This window comes from Homo sapiens, chromosome 10, assembly GCF_000001405.40.
Source record: "Homo sapiens chromosome 10, GRCh38.p14 Primary Assembly".
Lineage (NCBI taxonomy): Eukaryota > Metazoa > Chordata > Mammalia > Primates > Hominidae > Homo > Homo sapiens.
This window is the reverse complement of record NC_000010.11, coordinates 2,444,406-2,461,116: the sequence shown is the minus strand read 5'-3', so window position 1 is coordinate 2,461,116 and position 16,711 is coordinate 2,444,406. Positions and strand designations below refer to the sequence as shown.

Sequence of the window (16,711 nt, the reverse complement as noted above, 5' to 3'; positions counted from 1 at the left end):
CAAAGTATGTTTGCTGATCACAGAGAAACAAAATCAGACATAAACTACAGAAGGAAATTTGCAAAACCCACAACTATGTAAAAAATAAACCACAGACTCCTAAATAAGCAAGAGATCATAGAAGTCACCAGATAAATTATGAAATACTTCAAAGTGCATAAAAACAAAAGCATGACATATGCAAACCTACGTTAAGCAGCTAAAGCAGTGTTTAAATGAAAATGTAGAGCTGTAAACAGCTACATTAAAAAAAACAGATTTCATGCCAATAACCTAATGAACATCTGACACATATTATTTGGGAAGTAGAAGGTTGTATGCATGTGCAAGTTTGTGTACGTTCCAGGGAAAAGAAGGACCCAGACGCTCATCTAGTTACCTTAAGAAACTAGAAAACAAGAGCATTCTAAATGAAAAGCAAGCAGAAAGAAGGAAATAATAGTGATTACAGCTGACTAAATGAAATAGGAAATAGGAAAAAAAAAAAAGTTAACAAAACCAAAAGGGTATTTTGAAGGATTTTTTTAACGGACAAAATGTAATTATACTGACAAGAAAAAAAGACTCATATTTCCATAACCAAGAATGGAAAAGGGAACATCACTACAGACATTACAGAAATTTTAAAAAATATATAAGGGAATATTATGAAAAGCTCTCTTTCAAAAAGCTAGGTATATTCTCAGGAAGAACAAATTTCCAGAAAGACCCAAACTATTGAAACTGGCTCAAGAAGAAACAGAAAATCTGAAAAAATCATAACAAGTGAAAAGATGGAATTAGTAAATAAAATCATTTTACACATACACAAATCTAAGTTCCAAATGGTCTGTGGTAAATTCTACCAAACATACAATAAAGAATTAACACTATTCCTTCTCAATTTTTCCAAATAATAGGAGAGTTGACAGGACTTTTCAACTTATTTTCTGATGCCAGTATTACTTTATGACAAAAACCCAGCTACAGCCATCATGAGAACGTAATACTGCAGAACAATGTCTCTTAGGATCAATAGATACAAAAGTCCTCAAACTGAATCCAACAACATACAATTATAAAAGATTGTATACCATGACCAAGTACGATATACCTCAGGAGTGAAAAGTTGGTTTGAATTACAAAAAAATCAATAAATACATTAGGCAATGCTGCTACAGTAAAGAAGTAAATCGCAGGATTATCTCAATTCATGAAGAAAAATCATTTGGAATGATTCACCACTCATTCATGATGTAAACATTCAGCAAACTAGAAATAGAAGGAAACATTTCAACCTTATAAAGGATATGTTCAAAAAACCCACAGCTTACATCACACATAGTAGATAATGATGGATTATTTTTTTTCTTAAGACAATTAAAAAAGACAAGATTTCCAGTCTCCCTATTTCAATTCAACATTGTGTAGGAAGTTCTAGGCAGGGAGATTAAGCAAGAAAATAAATAAAGTCATCTACATTGAAAAAATAGCAGTAAAACTCTCCTTGCATATGACATGAACTTGTACAATGAAGATTCTCAGGAATCCCATAAAAACCATTAGAACTAATAAAAGAGTTCAGCAATGTAGCAAGAAACATCAATATACAAATATCAATGGTATTTCTATACACTAGCAATGAATAATACAAAAATACAATTAAGAAAATGACTTCATTTAAAATAGCATTAGAAGAATAAAGTACTTAGAAATAAATTCAATGAAAGAAGTATAAGGCTTGTATACTGAAAGCTCAACAACATTGTTCAAAGAATGTAAGAAACTTCTAAGTAAACAAAATGGCATATCATGCACATGAATAGAAAGACAATACATGGAACTGAAATTGATGTGCAGATTGAACAAAATCTCTATCAAAATTCTGGTTACCTATTTTGCAGAAATTGACAAATTGATATTAAAAAGTATATAGAAATGCAAGGAACATTGAACAGCCAAAACATTCTTGAAGAAAAAGAACAAAATTGGGTGACTTGTAATTTTCTATATCAAAACTTACTACAAAGACACAATAATTGCAACAGTGTTATACTAGCTAAGGATAGAAATATAGAAGATCAATGAATAGAATTGAGAATCCATGAATGAATCCTTATATTGAAGGCCAATTAATTTTTGACCAGGGTACCAAGACGATTCACTGGTTAAAGTTAATCTTTCCAACCAGTGGTGTTGGGAGAACTGAACATTGTATGCAAAAGAATGACTGTGTACCCCTACCTCACACTACATACACAAATGAACTTGAAATGGACCACATAGCTAAATATAGGAGCTGAAACTATAAAACTCCTAGAAGAGAGCATATAGAGCAAATCTTTCTGATCTTGGATCAAGTAAATTTAAAAGATATACCAAAACCACAAAATAACAAAAAAACTCATCGATAAATTAGATGTTACCAAAAAAATGAAAATTTCCACTCTTTTTCTGTACTTCCTTTTATTACACATAGACTTAACCAGCTGGAGCCTCATTATGAACAATATCTTTTTCTTTCAACTGATAAAGTTTTTAAATATTTGAATACAGATAGGGTAGTATGTTTAGACATTGTTTATTCTATCAACTATTGATTTGAAATGATATTTTAAATAGAAATAATGTAAGCAAAAAATACTATCTTGGTTATTCAGAATCACTCTGAATAACTTACTGAGCTGCCTGAGGAATTGGAGGAGCACCCAAAGTTTGGGGAGAATAGATGTGGCATAGAAGCTCAAGGATGTGTGGATCCTACTCAAGCTCCTTTCCACGTTACAAGCTGAGTTGAATAGGACATTTTAGCTACCCACCCCAAGGAAGAGTTTCTTATTTGTATAATATGTAATAGTGAAGTTAAACCCAAACATGCAATATTGTTTAGTACAATACCTGGCATAGACTATTTGCTCAAAATTTATTAGCCATTAGTATTAATATATCTAAGTTGCTATTTATCAAGAGGGAAACATTTGTTGACTTAGTACTATGCAGACTCTTTATATTCATGGTTTTTATTAAATCTTAATTTAAAAGTGATTCACTTCTGTCCAATCTTACTGTCCCTCTCCCAGTCCGATTTATTTTCACTTCTTATCTGAAGCACTTCCACGCTTCTAGCTGGTCTCCTAGGATCTATCCTAGTATATTCTCCACATAACTGTCAAAATCTTTCCATAGAAATTTTAAATCATTTTTGTGCTTAAATTCCTTCACAAATTTCCTGCTTCTTTCTCTTGGGAAAAAATTCATAACCTCTTCAACCCTGCCTTAATTTCTCCTTGTTTCCCAGGTATCATCCCTCTGCGGAGGCCACTCTGGCTCTGCTTCCATGCAGTTAATGGAGGAGTTTCAGAGTGCATGCCCCCTCCTCAGGGTGCCTCTCCTCCCACGGCATCCACATGCCAGTGGGCTGTTTGTTTCTTGCTCCCGAATTACCACATGGGCCCCTGTCAGCATGCTCTCTGTACAGTGGGTTGTAATTACTTCTTTAAAGTATGTCTTTCCTGCTAGTCTCCAAGCTCCCATGAAAACAAAGAATAGTTATGGTGGCATTGCCCAGCCAATCCCCAGTAATCAGCCCAGTCTGGCACTTGTGAAATGGATGAACACAGTTTTCAAGGCTAGGTGCATTTTATTTCAAAATGCCCAATGCTCTTCCTGTGCATGCTTCCCGCCGTTAGCATTGCACAGGCAAAAAATGGTTCACTTCAGATAGAGAGTATAGAGCATTTTCCTTTTTATTTCAAAAGATGGTATCATGAAATACATAAAGAAATTGCACATTTCTATGCAGAGATCTAAAGCAGCATCTGTAACAAATTATAATGAGAAAATCAGACGATTTCAAGAGGGAGTGATAGAGGAAATACGTTCAACTCTATTTCCAATTTTTTGCAGCTAAGGAAAATGACATTTTAACAAATATATTTGCTCTCCTTCCCTCGGCAGCTTTGTGTGATTCCAGTTGAAGTCGGATGAAATGTGTGGGCTACCTGTTGGTACAGGTGGAAGGTTGCCTTCTGTTTTTCTTTTGTGATTGGTTCTTCCTTTCACACCTCCTGATCATTTGGCAGTTGACTTCCCATTTGAAAGGGCTTCCTCTGCAGGGTTCCCGATTGCTTAGCAGCTCATGGCTTGTGAGTATGTCTCTGTATCTTCCCTGATCCTGCAGGTGCATTAGCAAGACAGCTGTGGCACTCTCACCTGGACTTCGGTGTATAACAAAGCTCTCTTGCGCTGCTGCTCTACCCACACGGGAGCTAAGGCGCCAAATTTTTATCTTTTTCTTACCTAAACATACTTCTCCTGGCAATTACTTTTCTCTTCCTTCTGCAACAGGGAGAGAAACTCTCTCCCTGTTTTATTTTACTTTTTTAAAAAAACAAATTTTGCACTGTTTTTGTGTGTTTGTTGGAACGTTAGAGGAAAGTAAGTTGGAAAGAAACAGTTGGGAATAAGAAGCAAATATTGAAGATGAAGGCGAGAAATACGTTTCAATTACTTTTGGCGACATTTTGCTAATTCAGACATGTGACATTTAAACTTAGTGAAATTACACATCGAATTTTTGAGGTACAAAACAGTATGGTGGTTAAGAGAATGAATGCTGTTGTGGTGCGGGAGCTCCTATCTGTGCTCTGTGATTTACCACCTGTGTGACCCTGGGCCTGTTGCTCAATTTCTCTGGAACTTCTGTTGTCCTTTTACTCTCTGTTCACCTGCTTCCCTGAGTTTCTGACTCTTTTCTTCCAAGAAACTGTTGGTTTGAAGTGAATTTTTTAAAAAGGCTATAGGGAGCTGACAGTAAGTACAGCAATACTTGATCTCTGAAAGTGCTCTAGCAAAATGATGTGAAACTTGTGAACTCACGTCATGGGTAAGAAAGCCTGTTTGTCTTGGACCCCAGAGAGAGCTACCAGGAGTGGAGGCATGGTGTTTAGAACACATGTTTAACCTTCACTAAGAATCTGAAGTCACAGCTTAACAACATAATTATTTAACATTGGATTAATTATTTAACTTCTTTTCTAAAATGAGGATAATGATATAGTTATTACAAAAAAGTAATAGAAAGACTGTCAATATAATACTTATGTAATAAGAGACATTTCTTTCTCTCTTAATTGTATATAAAGTTGACTCTTGAACAACATGGGTTTGAACTTTGAGGGTCCACTTATACTTTTTTTTCCAATGGAAATTATCCTGAGTGTGCCTGCCTCTCCTCTTCCCCCTCTACCTCTTCCACCTCTGCCACCTCTGAAACAGCAAAACCAGCCTCTCCTTTTCCTCCTCTGCTTGCTCCACGTGAAGACAAGAATGAAGACTTTCATGAGGTTTCACTACCAGTTAATGAATAGCAAATATATTTTCTCTTATGATTTTCTTAATTACCTTTTCTTTTCTCTAGCTTACCGTATTGTAAGAATACTGCATATGAGACATTTAATATACAACACATGTTAGTCAACTGTTTATGTTAGCAGTAACATGAACAGTAGCTGTTTGTAGTTCGGTTTTGGGGACTCCAGTGTTATATTCAGACTTTTGACTGTGCAGGGGATTGGCGCAGCGCCCCTAATGCCCACGCTGTTCGAGGGTCAACTGTACTTATTTCGAATTTCAAGTCTCACTCATAATCCAAGGCCCTTCTTATCCACATATTCTTCTCAGGCTATTTCAACCACAGTTACCTCACCCATCTGTAAAGTCAAAGAAGTTCTCACCTGTATAAGACATTTGAAAGTAAATGGATTTGCCATGTGTGAGCTTGGAAAAGTTACTTCACTTTACTAAGCATCAGTTTTCTTAACTGCAAAGTAGGTCTGATAATAGTGTGATTCTGTTAGGACTGTTTTGAGGATTAAATGGGGTAAGAAGTGTAGGGCACTTGGCACTGTGCCTGGAAGGAGCCCTAGAAATGGTGAATCATATCGCTGCTATTATCAATTGCACTGACTTTCCATATTTCATATTCTCTTCTTTTGTCTAACTCTTACAACTTCAGTCTCTGTTTCATACAGGTCAGTATTATTTTCCAGCTACATTGTGGAGTTCTTCAGAAGAGTCTGGTTTTCACAATTAATTAATTAGTTAATGTAATGAAAGGACAGAAGGCAAAGGACAATATCTGGACAGAGATTCAGGTAGGGAGAAAGATACCAGTGCTGTGCCGGGGCCAGCTCTAGCCTGGCACCTGAATGTGAACACAGTTGTAAAATTCCAAGATTTCAAGTCAATTGATACCAAGTTGGTAACTTTAGCTCTCGCATGGTGAGGGTCCTTATCCCATGAAAAATAGACACTAGCTACGAACCTGGCTTCCACCACCCCATACTGTAAAACACTTCCCAGATACAATATTGAGCATGCATGCATTGACAGAATGGCAGTGGAGACTATACTAAAAGTATAGTCTCCGTAGGAAATATAAATCTATTCTTTTCTTAATTATCGTAATATTTAAATTGAATATATAGGCAGGGTACAGCGGCTCACACCTGTAATCCCAGCACTTTGAGAGGCTGAGGCCGGCAGATCACCTGAGGTCAGGAGTTCGAGACTAGCTTGGGCAACATGGCGAAACCCCATCTCTACTAGAAATACAAAAACTAGCTGGTCATGGTGGCGGGTGCCTGTAATCCCAGCTACACGGGAGGTTGAGGCAGGAGAATCGCTTGAACCTGGGAGGCGGGGGTTTCAGTGAGCTTAGATTATGCCATTGCACTCCAGCCTAGGCCACAAGAGTGGAACCCCATCTCAAAAACAAAAAATTGAATATATATTGATTGTATATATAGATGTATATATAGGGAATTTATAGTCACAGTACCTTTTAATATGTGCTGCATGATAACCAAATAATTCCTTCTGAACAGAGTGACTAGTAGAGATATAAAAGATAAAAATAAGTACATTGTAATAGTTGCATACAAAATTGAATATATCATTCTGAAAAATCCCAATTGTTTTTAACCTTTAGTTCACGCAATCTTATCAATTACTTTTTTGAATGGCTTGCTAAAGCTACAAGGAAGTAAATCCACTTTATATGGTTTCCAAGACATCCTTTTACACGGCTTCACACTGAAGATATTAGTCTTATAAAAAATAGTTCGGTTACAATAAAGGAAGGTAAATTTGAGGAGTTCTTTCAAGTCTTAAGCCTGCTGTCATGAATTACAATGACAAATGAATCTATTAGAGATGTGCCCCAGATTCTGTGATTAAATAAAACAAACAAAACAAGAAACATTTCCTCCATCCTCAATGTGGGGGACGTATTTTCCCAATATTCCCCCTCTGCCATATTCCCTTTTTCTCTGCATGGAACTCCCATACCACCCCGCACGAGACTTTAAGATGTTCTTATTCAAAACCTGCTTTTTTTTTTTTTTCCGGGTTGTGATAGTTGGTTGAACCCTGTGCTTTGAGTGTGTAGTAGAGATAGAGGTGAGATCAACAGAAAGGAGTCATCGCCCTTCTTATCTTGTTTGGGGCAGCAATGCAGTGGAAGGATGTACCTGAAGGGAGGGATGTGGACTGCCTTCATCGTCATCACTCATGGACTCAGCACGCTGCTGCTGTCCGCAGGAGAAAGGGCTCTCCATCAGGGCTTGGAGGAGCAGATGCTACTCCCAAAAGAGTCGGTTCTTAGTGCAAAATGACTTTCACTGCAGGCAGCCCCTAAATTATGTTGAATTATCCTGGGTTCTGCCTATTTTGCATGCACCCTCCTTAGGTCTACACTTGTAAGAAGGAATGAATGCGGTTTCAAATTTCCTGATGATGGCAGTATTAGAGATATTGAAATCAGTTGGGTATTCATTCAATTGTTGTGAAATAGTTTACATTTTGCTGACAATAGTAATCAAAAAAAGAGTCTATTCCAAGTTTTTATTGGTAAATATAAGGTTGATGCAAAACCAATTGCGATTTCTGACATTAAAAGTAATGGCAAAAACCGCAATCACTTTTGCATCAACCTAATAGATTTCTTGCAATAAAGATCATCTTTCCAGAAAAATAATGTTATATTTTGTTGTGGTTGATATTACATGTGAACTTGACCAGACCCTGGGGTACTAAGATATGTGGTTTCATATTATTCTGGATGTTTCTATGAAAATGTCTTTGGATGAGGTTAACATTTAAGTCAGTGGACTTTGAGTAGGTAGATAGCCCTCCCCAATGTGGGTGGGCCACATCCAATCAACTGAAGGCCCGAGTAGAACAAAGACTGACCTCCCCCAAGCAAGAGTGAATTTTGCCAGCATACAACATCGACTCTTTGCTGGGTCTCTGGGCTTCTGGCCTTCAGAATGAAACTGCACTTTCTCCTTCCCTGGGTCTATCACCTGCCAGTTCACACCAGAGATTTGGACTTTCCAGCCTCCATAGTCACATGAGCCAATTCCTTATATATGTAGGTATTATAATACTATGTATTATAATTCTTTCTCTCTCTCACTTCATATATATGTGTGTGTGTGCCTGTGTGTGTATCTATCTCTATATATGTCTCTCACTTTTCTCTCTTTCTATATATGTATATATAGAAGATATATATGTCTTCTACTTTTTTCTATTACTCTGGAGAACCCTAACAAATATAATAATAAGTATAAAATGAAACAAAACAAAATGAAAATAGTTGTGTTCTTCAGGGAGGATAAGGTTAGAGAAAGCCAAAGACTTTGGCACTGAGACTCCTGAACTGGATGTTGGTTGTTCTTCCAGTAGAAGGGATGGTCAGATAGTTAGAGATTTGGGAGAAAAATAGTGATCAATAAAAAAATACAATTTACATGTATAAATTTAAACAAATATCAACAGTATATAGCAAGAGTTTAAATGTTTTCAGTTTCAAAGTGTATGAGAGAATTAGATATCTAACAACTGTAGCATATATTATGGAAGGGAAATAATTTAAATGTTTTGTTTGAAGGGTCTTGCTCTGGAAAAAAAGAGAAAAGTAACAATTAATATAAAATAAATATAGGTTAAGATGTGTGATGCAATTTCTAGGGCAACCATCGAAAAGCAATAAATGTTTGTATATTTTTACATTTATGTAATAAAAAATTATAAAACTAAATCAATTTAAATACATGAAAGAAAAGAGAAAAATGGAAAGGGTAAAGAATAGAAAAAGTGTTGTAATACAGTAAATTTAATCTTAGAGATATCAGTCATTGCATTAAAAGCAAATGCAGTAGTAAACATGTGTGTATGTATTTTAGAGATAGATAGGTTCTCACTCTGTTGCCCAGAGGGCTGGACTGCAGTGGTGCAATCATGGATCATAGCAGCCTTGAACTCTTAGGCTCAAGCAATCCTCCCACCTCAACCTTCCAAGTAGCTGGGACTATAGGCATGCACCACCATGCCTGGCTAATTTTTTCTCTTCTCATTTTTTTTGTAGATACAGGGTCTCACTGTGTTGCCCAGTCTGATCTTGAACTCCTAGGTATAAGCAATCCTTCCACTTCAGCCTCCCTAAGTGCTGGGATCCGAGGCTACAGCACGAACCACCTTGACTCACTTAGTAAACATTTAGATAAAAGGGTGTGAGTGGCGGGACCTGATTTCCCCCTGTTTGAGTGGAGTTTCCAGATGAGCAAGAGGAAAAGTCTAGAAGGCTCCATGTTATGGGTTAGGGTTTGTAAGATCAGAATAGAAATTTCAGCTTAATATTGTTAATATTAATATTGTTACAGACAGTTTTACATAGAACTAATTATAGGTATGTACATAGTCACAGGTTAGTGCACACATATTTTTTCTTACTATGTCAGGTGAAAGGGCTCAAAGTCAAGGACACCTCAGTTGCAAGGAGCTCACTCAGTGTCCAGATCTTGGTTCTGATGCTGCTCTTCAAAAAAAATACCTAGATATCCCAGGAAGAGGGCAAGAAACATATCAGGTGACCCTAGAGCGTCTTGTAGTACCAGAAAAAAAGAATCTGGTATTCTAAATAATTTATATAGACATTTTATTCTAAAAAGCTGAGACGTAACATCCTATTCCTTAAATGTGGACTATATAAAGCAATCTATTTCTAAAGAAGGCTGTACAGAAATTGTGAAACAAATAATCTTTACAGCAGAAAAACCTGAAATGCTATCTCAGCCAGGTAGTCCAGGCAGACATTGGAAGTGCTAAGTTATGTTGATAGCACATATTATATGTGATGCGATGTGATAAAATGACACTAATCCTCTCTAGTCTTCCTGTGAGAACATATAACCTCAATTTAATAATGAGAAACATATGTGACAAATCTCAGTTGAGGAATGTTCTAGAACCATGATCGGAACTCCTCAAAACTGTAAAGGTTTTGAGGAAACAAGGAAAGTCTAAGAAACTATCACAACCACGAGGAGATTGAGAGACAGGACAATGGAATATAATGGGGCCTGCCATATAGGATCTTGAACAGAAAATACATACGTGCAAAAACTAAATAAATCTGAATAAAGCCTGGACATTAGTTAATAATGTATCAAGACTGATTTTTTAATTGTATCAGTGTATCATACTGAGATAAGACGTTAAAAACAGAAATGCTTAGGATGGGGTACACAAGAACTTTCTGTACTGTCTTCTTAATTCTTCTGTAAATCTAAGCTTTTCTAAAAAATAAAGTTTATTTTAAAAAATGGACACGATCCTTCAATTATAACTCAAAATGGCTATTCTGGATGTTTAAAAAATTTCAAAACCCAATAATAGACTGTTAAAAAGAAGCATATTTAGAAATATTAAGATGCAAGAAAATCAAAAGAAAAGGGCAAAAACACTGATCTCCAGAGAGCTGATATTAAAATCTACCAATAGAGGAGATAAAACATTATCTGTATTAAAAAGACATGCATTATAAAAATAAAAATTACAACTCATCAGGAAAATAGAATAATTCTAAATGATTATGTACCACATTACTTATTCTGATAACATATTAAGCAAAATGTTTTATAATCTCAAAAAATTATATTTACAATTAGAGTGAGAAATATTACATACCTGTCTAAATAATTGATAGAAAAAGGCAAGAAAAAAATCTTAGCAAGGATATAGAACATTTGCAAAATATGTTTAGTACATAAAACCTTACTTTAGATATATACATTGCTCTTAAAAACTACAGAATACACACAGTTAAACTCGTGGAAGCCGAGCATAGAAAGGAAATAAAAAAGAGTCATCACTACAAATCCTACAGACTTTTAAAAGAAAACAAAGAATATCATGAGCAAGATTTTGCCATTACTTTTCAATATGTAGATCAAATAGACAAATTCTTAGAAAATTAAATAACTACTAAATTATGCAAGTAGAAATAAGAAATATCAGTAATTTTGTTTCCAACAAATAGACATTATATTTTTAAAAATATTTTCCCCCCAAAACTCCATGTTTAGCTTGATTCACCAGGAAATTCAAACAAATATTTTAAAGAAATAAAACAAATATACCATAAACTTAAAAAAATAGAGAAATGATCAGCTTTGTATCAAAACACAAAAGAATATATAGAAGTTATCAATTTCACTAATAATTATAGATGCAAAAATTCTGAACAAAATATTTGCAAACTAAATTCAGCAATATGCAAAAAGTACAATACATAACAACCAACTTAAATTTGTTTCAAAAAATCAAGTTTGCCTAACATTTAAAAATCGATCAATATAGTACATTATACTGACATTTTAAAGAGAGGAAATATTCTTGAATAGTATGTGTTTGAAATTCAAGAAACAGGTGTAATTTTATTTAGAAATGCATTATTTTATCTTAAAGCTACCAAGGAGAATGAGGAGATTTTTATAAAATCACAAATTGCGTTAATGTTAAGGAGACTGTAGAAAATGCCAGTGGAAAAGCCCACAAAGGTTGTGGCCTCCTACCTCTGTGGTGTTTGCACCACAGAGTTGTTGTTATGCGGGTATTTGTTTAAATAAAATGTATTAAGCTGTGCATTTGGTGTGGAGCGGCTTTCAATGAGTGCATCATAAAGTATAAAATAAAAAGAAGTCAATGAGAATAACCTTCAACAGAAAACTACAATAGGAAAAGCCACAGAGTGATCAAGTGGACCCAAAAATCATAGGTTTTCTCACAGAAATCTTAAAGGAATATAAATTGGTTAGTCATTTAAGAAAGCAACTTGCCAGCAGGTATCAAGAGCGTAAAAATTATTATTTGATTTAGATCCAGCAATCATGTACTTGTGATAAGAATTATATATTAGAATTATGGAAATAATTATAAGATTTACTTTCACAACGTATATCTGGTTAGTTTAAACATCCAGCATAGAGTGCATAAGCATGTCATGGCATAACCACCAATAAAATTATCTTTATTTGAGATGTAATTCTACATTTCAGTTAAGATGTAGAATTTGGGCCAATAGCTTGATATTTCGCATTTTCACAATTTTGGAAACAGAGAAACATAAATAATTTAAAGAGTGGTTTGAATGATTTTACTTATGTATTGCTTGAATATACATGCAGTGTGTGCATTTCTACTAGGCATTGAGAGAAGAGTCCTATATTTTCCTAGTACTATATTTCCAGGTTTAACACTGAATTTTGGCTGTATCTAAGTAATAGATAATAAAATAATCGTAGACAACATTCTCTTAGGAAACAGTCATGAAACTGGCTCTTAGTGATCATTTGGCTCAGGATACGCACACACATGGATATTCTCCACTGAGGGCCTCACTGTAGTAGACGGGAGGGTCACCCCTGTTCAGCAAATCATCAGAATGAGAAATGGAGAGGGATGGTGGGTGGGACTAACCATTTGAAATAACTTCTGGAATGTGTCTTTTAGGAGTTTGGTTTCAGTACAACAAATGCCTTACTTCTAATGCCTTATCTACATGCTTCCAAAACAAAATTATAGATCTTATTTTAGATTGCAAGAAAAGGGTCACAATGACCTGAGTTCTGAATTATAAATATCATTTTATTAAAAATACACATTAAAAAAATCTGAAAGCACAGAATGGCCAGTGGATGGTACTAATTTAGACGGGAATAAAGTGAGCAGGATTTTAACTGATGCAGAAGGGAAGGACTCAGAGCCCACTGTTAATATTATATAAGAAGGAATATCCCAGATAAAAGGTAATCAGTTTTTGCTTGCCTTTTAACAGTATTCTTTCTACTTGACTATATAGCATTCACTTTTTTTTCCTCGGGAAACATGACTATGTGTGAGTGATACTGTGTACCTGTGTATTGACATGTGTGTGTGTGGGCTGTGTGTGTGTGTGTGTGTGTGTGTGTGTGTGTGTATGCAGGCACTGTTATTGCTTTCATAGAAACTGATTCTGAAAGAAATTTCAGAAGGGAAGAGACAAGTTCTTGGCTTGTTGTAGACTGGAGGTGCAATCTAAAAGAATTCAGGGGGAAAAAACCTGGAGCCATGGGGTATGTTCTTGACTGTGAAAGCATATTTCATTTATATCCCCAGTCCACTAGCGCAGTTTAACCATGTGATGGACTTGACCCCTGACACACACATGTTCAATTACTTTGGACATTAAGAACTTAAAAACAAGTTCAGACTGACACTGTTAGACACAACATTCTCCCACACCTGATCCCAAGGTTCAAAATGCTGTATGTCCTGATTTATTTTGTTTGTTTGTTTTGTGAGTTATCTTTATAGTGATAGTCATGGTGTTATTTCAAATCTTCATTAAAATATTATAAATGGTGAAACAAATAGTGACCTCAGCCTTCACCTTCTGACAGGTGTTCACGGATAATGAAGCTGATGTGAGAGCCCTGGAGAGAAACATCAGTCAAAGGCATGCAGGTTGTGAATACAAACCTCACTTGTTTCCAGACAGATTCTTCATCATAATGATTAGGACAATGACAGTACAAACATTCTCATCCTACAAAAATAAGTAATCACAACCACACCTTATCCAATATCTGTACAGCAATTGTGCCATACACATTAAATTCAGATTTTTATAATGTAATTTAATCTGTATTTCAAGCCACAATCTTGCTGAAGTTCATAATGTTTTGTTCCAACCATTCTTGTAATCCCCTCTGGTGACATGCCATGGTGCCAGCATCTTAGTTGTTCCCATGGCACTAGTAGGTGGAGGCATCGAGACTGCTGTGTCCTCTCTTCTTGCAGGGAATCCCATCCAGCGTCCCTCTACTCTCCTCTGCAGCTTCCATGGTTGGAATGCTGAGCCATTGCTAGGACGATGAGGCTACAGGAAAGTGAAATGCACCTGCTGCGATCTGATCCAACTGACCACTCCTGCTGCTCCTCCCTTGCACCTCAGGCATCTCCTTCCAATCTGGAGGAAACACTTTTACCTCCACTTTTCTTTTACAGTCCTCCAAACTCTGTTCCTTCTAGGGAGCACAAGTACAGAAATAGAAACCTGGACTCCCATCATCCTGCTTCACAAACTTACAATGTTAAAGAAAGAAAAAAAAAAAGACCAAGTACATTACCTGGTAGAATTGGAGAGATGGGCACGAAAGAGCTGTAAATACAGTTAGAAAACACACTAGCATTTACAAATGTGTATGAGAAACAATGAGGAGGATTTTCAGAGACTATCATAACCATTTATTTTTCTAATATGTGATAAGTAAACGCACAGAAAATCAATTTAATATTTGGGGCTTTTATTTCTCATTTTTTAGATTGCCAGAAAGACTGTCCAGTGTTATAAAGTTTGTGTCAATATTCTGGAATTGGCAATTTTGTCATTTATATGGGAGAAATAGCTAAAGGTGTAGTATAAAGTATTTGCTCGTAGGTAATGGAATGTTACCTTTACCCAAAGATATAAAAAATAAACGGTAGAACAAAAACTCAGAGTGAAATGTGTCCTTTTCTTCTTTCGGTGTCATGCATTAGCATCCTCATTTATCTTCATGGTACTCATGCAATGTAAAAGGCCATAATTTATAGCACTTGACCTACTGGATTTCCTGGGGGCATAATGCCATTGAGTTGGCTTAATAAACCTCTACTTTTTGCTTTCATTGACTCTGTAAGGAAATAAAAATAGAATGGGAGAGAAATAACATTAATTGTAAGTACCAAAAAAAAAAATGGTGCCATTGTACAAGGTTTAAAGTGTTCGAGTGAAAGAATAAACTATTGGGAATTAGAAGCCAGTCTTCCTGAGAGTTTTTCTCAAAATGGAAGACTCAACTGAAAATTGTGTGTCTATTTTCTCTGTGCATAAATCTTTTAAATCATAACCACCCTCAAATCTTAAATAAGCCCCTATACTCTAAGTATCGTGTAAAAATTAGGTAAAATATTTATGACACAGAACAGTGTTTTCCCAACAGTGCAAACTTGATTAATGGAGAAAATGTATTTTAAAATTAGCATATTCTCTATCTTGTTTTGTCTATGTGCAATTTTCAAAACTGGAAGAATAGAATCCTCAGAGGAATTTATAATGAACACATGTTAAAGATTTATGGGGCAGCTATCGAGGGGCCCAGCAGGAAGAAAAGCTTGTTCCGAGAAGAACACGAGACACGGCTATGCCCGCAGTCAGTTACCAAACGAGAGTGATGAAATAGGCTTGCTAAATTAGATGAAAGAAAACTCGTTCACACACTGCACAGCAATAGCACCAGAACTTCGGGGATCACGCTCTCTACTGCACAAGAATTATTTCCAAGTCTATACAAAATGGACAACTCTTTCGTTTTCTAAAAATTAACAGCAGACTTTACACAGTCAGGGCTTTAAACAACTATGGATGATAAACAGAAGAAGGTTACATGCCCAAGAAAGACAGATGGTTTTTAGACAGGCTTAGAGAACAATATTTCAGCCTACTGTGCCATGAAAAAAAAAATGAAAAAGAAAAACAAAAAAACAAAACAACACGGTCTTTGTTTCTTTGGACTTACTCAAATTTTATATTCTTTTTGGAGGACTTTTACAATTATGGAAGAAATAAGTTTTCCTCGTGTATTTTTTAAACTTAAAATGGTCCCCATGGTCTGATTCGTACAAATGTACTAATAAGGAGAACTATGAGCCATCTGCCTTGAACCCCAAATGTCCTTGGAAATCCAGAAATGAATTGCAGGCGAGGGCGTGGGGAGGGTGACGGGTGGGCACTACCACACGGCGGGCTTCACGCAGCTTCTCCAGGGACCTGGTCGCAGAGGTGTCTTTTTCTTGGGATCAAGGTCTAGTCAAACAGAACAGGCGACTTGCCATATTTTCCCCAAAGGAGATGAAGTTCTGTCTTGCAGAAAGGCACATGTCATATTGTACGTGAAAAGGGAAGCTGGAGAGTGTCACCTGTGAACGTTGGATTTCTTAGTTTGCTCCCTCCTCTTCTATGCCTTTCTCTAGCTGCCACATCTGTTATCCTTGCATACTATTGTGGAGAAGAACATGCCTGCTTCTTCCCTGTGGGACATAGAATGGTATTAACTGGGACTATACAACAATTTCATCGCAATTTCATAGGGCGTGGTGAAAGGAAGGGAGTTGGTAGTTTTTTATTTAAATTAAATTAAATTTATTTATTTGTTTTAGAGACAGAGACTCATTCTGCCACCCAGGCTGGAGTGAGTGCAGTGTTGGGATCTTAGATCACAGCTCACTGCAACCTCCATCTTCTGGGCTCAAGCAATCCTCCCACCTCCAGCCTCCCAAGTAGCTGGGACTACAAACACAAGCC

General features: G+C 36.1%; 1 long non-coding RNA gene across 1 annotated transcript in view; it reads left to right on the top strand.

Annotated features, from left to right (window-relative positions):
• The window catches only part of LINC02645 (long intergenic non-protein coding RNA 2645), a 55,210-nt gene extending 40,346 nt beyond the window's left edge, over nt 1-14,864 (top strand). Inside the window, exons 2-3 of the long non-coding RNA NR_136146.1 lie at nt 13,767-13,830; nt 14,167-14,864. This is a non-coding gene — a long non-coding RNA (long intergenic non-protein coding RNA 2645). The remainder of the gene's footprint in view (nt 1-13,766; nt 13,831-14,166) is intronic.
• Nucleotides 14,865-16,711: the final 1,847 nt, after the last annotated feature.